Here is a 5648-nt window from a genome sequence, read left to right as displayed (position 1 = left end):
GCTTCAGGGAAAGGGAAAAATGTCTACCTTTGGGTCTAATCTGCCTCCCAGGCGAGCCTACAGGTACTAGAACTCTAACTGCAACTATGATGGCACAGGGAAAATGCATGTATGTAATATGCTTGTCGGCTTCAGCAACAACTCATGTATGCATACACATTTACTATATGTAAACAGGTCCCGTATAATACTTAAAACACAAGTGTTTGATCTATAAATATTTGATTCTTAGTATTTAAAATGCTTCTAATGTTTTAAAAGACAAAACTCCACCATGATATCACATTGAACATTAAAATTATTCCCACAGCAACACTTTTTTCAGAGAAACAATTGAGAAGTCAGTTATCTTAGTCACCACTAAAGGCACCTGGTAAGAAAAGCCTGAACTAAATTTTAAATATTAAAAAGTTAAAGAGACATCTAGTGCAGAGTTCAAACCTTTATGTTGAATTGTTTAAGAGTCATTACTGATTTCATGACGCTGATAAGTGTTTGAGATGAAATGATTTTTAAAAATGCAGAGAAAATGCTAACAGAATATTATATAGTTCCCCTAAAGATGCTTCTTCTAATCTCCAAGTATTAAATAAGATTGATCTAAATGTTAAGTACATATAAAGTATATATTTGCTAGTCATCTATAAATTTTAAGTACAATTCCAGTGATATACCTGTATCTTTTGGAAGAGAAGAACTAAACCTGCCGTTTCTTAGGCTAAGTAGACAATTCATAAGGTCCTTCCTTCCCCATTTATTCTGATTGCCAAGCTTTTGTTCAGTAAGCTCTTGGCATCTAGTGATTAACCAGTGACAGCAGACAGTAGTGACCAAGAGAGATGGAGAGAATGATGGTGTAAGACAGTATATAAGGACAGTAAGCCACTGTATTTGTGGAACCACTGCATGTCAAAACTCCTTAACACTCTAACAAGGCATTTTTGGTCTTTTAAGATTAAGGACAGTCCTTACATAAGGGACTCAGTTTCAAACTAAAGTGCATCAAAAAGCAAATTATACTTCACAAACAACTTTAAAGAGGTAGCCACAAACCCAGTTGTTTTAGATTGGCCTTCTAAATGAAGTCAGCACATGGATCCATGTGTGAGTGTCGTGGACGTCATTGATTATGTAACTGTAACTGAAAGAAAAAGGCACAGCTCTGCAGACACCCAAGAGAAGCTGGCATGTTTAATGTGGATGTAGAAGGGATAATGTCCATGGCAACTGATTGGAACACAACTGTCAGCAGCCTCAACACAGGCTAAGACTGGGTTAAGCCCCAGGAGATGCAGAGAATGACTGAGGAAGCTGTGGTCTAAGGGCACAGTACAGAAGGTAGCTTGGAGTGTGCTGTGTTTCCTAGAGCCTTTTAAGTTGGGTGGTTGAGTAAAGGAGGGTGGAGGCAGGCTGTTCTACTTCCAATCCATGGATAAATCTCATTTTCTCAATGTAATACAGAGGCTGTTCTTCTATGATTGGCAAACACTATTTGTTCTTATCATGGAAACAGCATACTGCTATCAAGAAATAGGGAAAAGACAGTAAAAAAAAATGTGTGGAAAGAATATGGAATACCATGCAGCCATAAAAAATGATGAGTTCATGTCCTTTGTAGGGACGTGGATGAAGCTGGAAACCATCATTCTCAGCAAACTATCGCAAGGACAAAAAACCAAACGCCGCATGTTCTCACTCATAGGTGGGAATTGAACAATGAGAACACTTGGACACAGGAAGGCGAACATCACACACCAGGGCCTGCTGTGTGGTGGGGGGAGGGGGGAGGGATAGCATTAGGAGATATACCTAATGGAAAAGACGAGTTAGTGGGTGCAGCAAACCAACATGGCACATGTATACATATGCAACAAACCTGCACATTGTGCACATGTACCCTAGAACTTTAAGTATAATAAAAAAAGTGTGGAAAGAATAATATGGGTTTCTAACTGAATGCTTGCTTTTGAAGAGCCCAAAAACAAACAAACAAAAAATTCTAAGAGCAGCAAACATCTACGTCTGTTATATTACTGAATTATTCATTTTTAAAATCCTTATTTCATAGGAGAGATATTTACAATTTTGAATTACAACGTTTGAAAAACTTTGAAAATAACCTGAAAGGGGAAAGTTGACCTAAGCCATTTTATTCTCTTAAAAAAACCCCAGACTTTTGTATAATAGTAATCCCTGAACTGAGTATTTTTGAAGGTTTTTCAGATAATCTGATGTGCAAAGTTAGTTTGTTTTACTATTTAGTTGTTTGGAATAGTAGAGCATTATATGAGGCTCTTACTGGAGGCTTAATGGTATTAAGAGATTAAAAGCTTTCACATTGTTTGTTTTTTACATCTATAAATAAAACAAGTTGTTATCATTTTGTAATATTTAGCTTATATACATTTTTTTGTGAGAGTTTTGTGGGACTTGGAAAGTGTATGGACTAGCATCAGACACAAATTATTTTTCCATCTTTCTCACTTGGAGTTTCAGATAGCAGCATTTTAATCATCTCTTCCATTAAACCAAGATTACACAAAAGCGTTTGAGGACACTGAGGACTGGCACTTCTAATTTTGCTTCAGAAACCAGTACTCAAAATGTCTGGTTTGGAGGTCAGTTACACTGCTGTCTTTGTATAATCAGCCATTAAAGAATATTTTGGGGACATTTCTCAGAAGTCTCATCCCCATATTTTTGTTCTTAACACATCTCACCACAAACTCTACCACACCTATGGTTTGCAAACTTTGGGAAGTGTCAGTATATGTCATTATCATGGTTATTAGTACTATTATTTGTTAAAAGCCCTTTGAAGGCAATTTATGTGACTTATATATAGTTAGTATTTTAATTTGGACATTCTCCAGTTATATGCAAAGATTAAAACTCGGCAGCTTCATTTTATAGAATTGGCATCTTTTATATGGCTATGGGGACTGCTTGGTGTCTATAAATTATTATGTATATTTGTTGGACTGAAATCAAACTTAAAATCTTCCACATTTCAAGTGTTTTTATTCTGAGCAGTACGTACAAAAAATAACGCCATAGTTGTGTTAATTCTGTATAGTTCAGCACCCTCCACAGGCTGTCAATCTCTGATTTGAACTACTTTTACCAGATTTAACAGATCCTTGAATTTACTTTACTGTCTATACTTCCTTTTTGCTCACATTGGGAATCAGATTAAACATGCATCTACTTCATTGAGGAACTCCAGATTGAGACATGCTGGGATTGACTCCATGGTTAGGGAAGATGGATGAAATGGAAACAAAACAGGAAACATGTGCTTGGCATCTAACAGCAGTTGCTGAGGGTCATTCTGCTCTTGTAGTTGTGCCTGGATCGTTTGTATAAAGGCCACTGTTACCTGTTCTTCAAATTCATTCAGGGGAGGCTAAAGGTTTAAAATTTGGACAATCTGCTGGGTGCTGAGAGAGGCACACAGGGAGCAGATGGCCTCTGCATCCTCCTGGGTTTTCTTCTTTAATTGCAGGAGCTGGGCTGCTTGGATCAGAGGTTCCATGGTCTGAACTACTCCACTCTGGTGAAGGTTTCTTCCCCAAAGCCACTCCTCAAGCTGACTTATATTGTACCTGAGTTGCATGCCTGTGCTCCAAGAGCAGACGTCCTTCCGCAGGAGCTAGGTCATTAAGAGTCACTGCGTTGATCATGTAGAAGAGCTGTTTGAATACCTGCAGGATGATCTCAGGGTCCAAGCCCTGGTCACACATGACTGTATGAAAGGCATTCATCTGGCGGATGATAGCTTCCAGGCGGTATGAGTTATCCCCATCTGCCATGCTGGAGGAGTGCTTCTGGGAGCCAGTGGGCTTCACACCAGATAGACCCTGAATGCTGTCATTTTCCAACATGGCAGAAACTATCATCGGCTGTAACACACCCTCGGCAATTTTAAAGAGCTGCTGGTAGATCTGAATGGAAAGGTCGCTCAGTACCTGACGGTATTCGGTGAGGTCAAAGTTCTTAAGGCAGTGTTCGTTGTGCTTTGCTGTATTCTGAGTCATGAAGCCCTCATCCCCGCTGTACTGCTTCAGACAGTGAAGAAGGTGGCAGGTGTTGGATAACAGGAATGACGTCATCTCAAAGTCATCACTGTGCTTCTTCAGGACTTTCTTAATGCCGTTGGTGGTGGAGGTCATCAGGGAGTGCACCTTGAGATCATCGTTGGTTTGGTCCGCGAGCCGGATGCACATGTAGAGGATGTAGGCGGAGAGACAGGGCACTGTGTCCAACAGCATCTGGGGCTTCAAGTCTGTCACCAGGTTGAGGATGAGGAGGGCCTCGCCCTCTTTGCGGCACTCCAACATGCCCTGGAAATCCTTTTCTTTCCACTGAACTGGGACCTGCCTGTTGAACTCATGGCGCTTCCTCTCACTCTGGGCCAACGCCTGGGCAGCTTCCTCATGTAAATCTTCAGTTGCTTTTAGAGCTTCCTCTCATTCTTTTCCTCTTACTTTATTTTTCACCACAGAGCTTCCTATCAACTAGTATGTTGAATATTTTGCTTATTAACTTTGTTTATTGTCTTCTCCCTCGATTAGAATATTAGCTACTTGAGTACAAGGATTTGAGCCTGTTACATTCACTGCTGAATTTTAGACTCCTGGAAGATACCCAGCATTCAATAGAGACCACACAATAAATATATGTCAAATAAATGAGTCTGTAAGTTCATCAATTTATTTGCCCATATGCATTAACTTTTGCCCATATAAATCCAATAACTCTTGTTATATGAAATCAACTGTACTATTTGCTTCATGTAATAGTTTAAAAATACATATGTGTGTATATAAATATATACAGAGATCATAGACCTAACTCCATCTATATATGTGTGTATGTGATATATAGAAATATATACACACATATATATGACTGACATATATATAAATATATACACACACATATATATGACTGACATATATATAAATATATACACACACATATATATGACTGATATGTATATCTCTCTTGTGTAAGTGGAATCAGGCAGTATTCAAACATACTTTCAATTAGTAATGACTATAGTTTAAATAAGAGAAAGTTTAAAGATTCTGATAGTTTAAATAAGAGAAAGCAAACATCACTACTACTAGTATTTGGGGAAAAAGATTACAAATAGAGATATTATGATAAAAGCATACAATATTTTTTATGTTTGTGCGCTTAGATCCATGTTCAAACTTTGGCTCACCTATACATGTATAGCACATTGGAATATGTGCTACAGTATGCCATTTATAAAGACTGAAAATAATAGTTTATAAACATTATTATTTATTTAGCAACCTCATAAGCTTGGTTTCAAAAATACCTGAATTACATAGCATAATCCCAGTGCTGGAGAACAGAACAGTAGCTGCCAAGGGTTAGGGTCGGCTGGAAGATGTGATTAGTGAGGGATAACGTGAAAACATGTACTTTGTTTGTGGTGATAGAGCAGTTCTGCATCCAGATAATGGTAATGGTTACATAAATCCACACTTCATAGATCTATACACACACATCACACATACATTCAAACACATCTGTACATGTAAAATCCTTAGAAATATGAATAGGGTCTGAACCTAAGTTAATGGTATGGAAACAATGTCAATTTCCTGATTTTG

At 38.1% G+C, this 5648-nt stretch overlaps 1 pseudogene; it reads right to left on the bottom strand.

Moving 5' to 3' along the window:
- Positions 1-2191: 2191 nt before the first annotated feature.
- Positions 2192-4481, bottom strand: MYO5BP1 (myosin VB pseudogene 1; annotated as a pseudogene).

This window comes from Homo sapiens, chromosome 9 (assembly GCF_000001405.40).
Source record: "Homo sapiens chromosome 9, GRCh38.p14 Primary Assembly".
Lineage (NCBI taxonomy): Eukaryota > Metazoa > Chordata > Mammalia > Primates > Hominidae > Homo > Homo sapiens.
The sequence above is the reverse complement of the archived record's forward strand: the minus strand, read 5'-3'. Positions and strand labels throughout refer to the sequence as shown.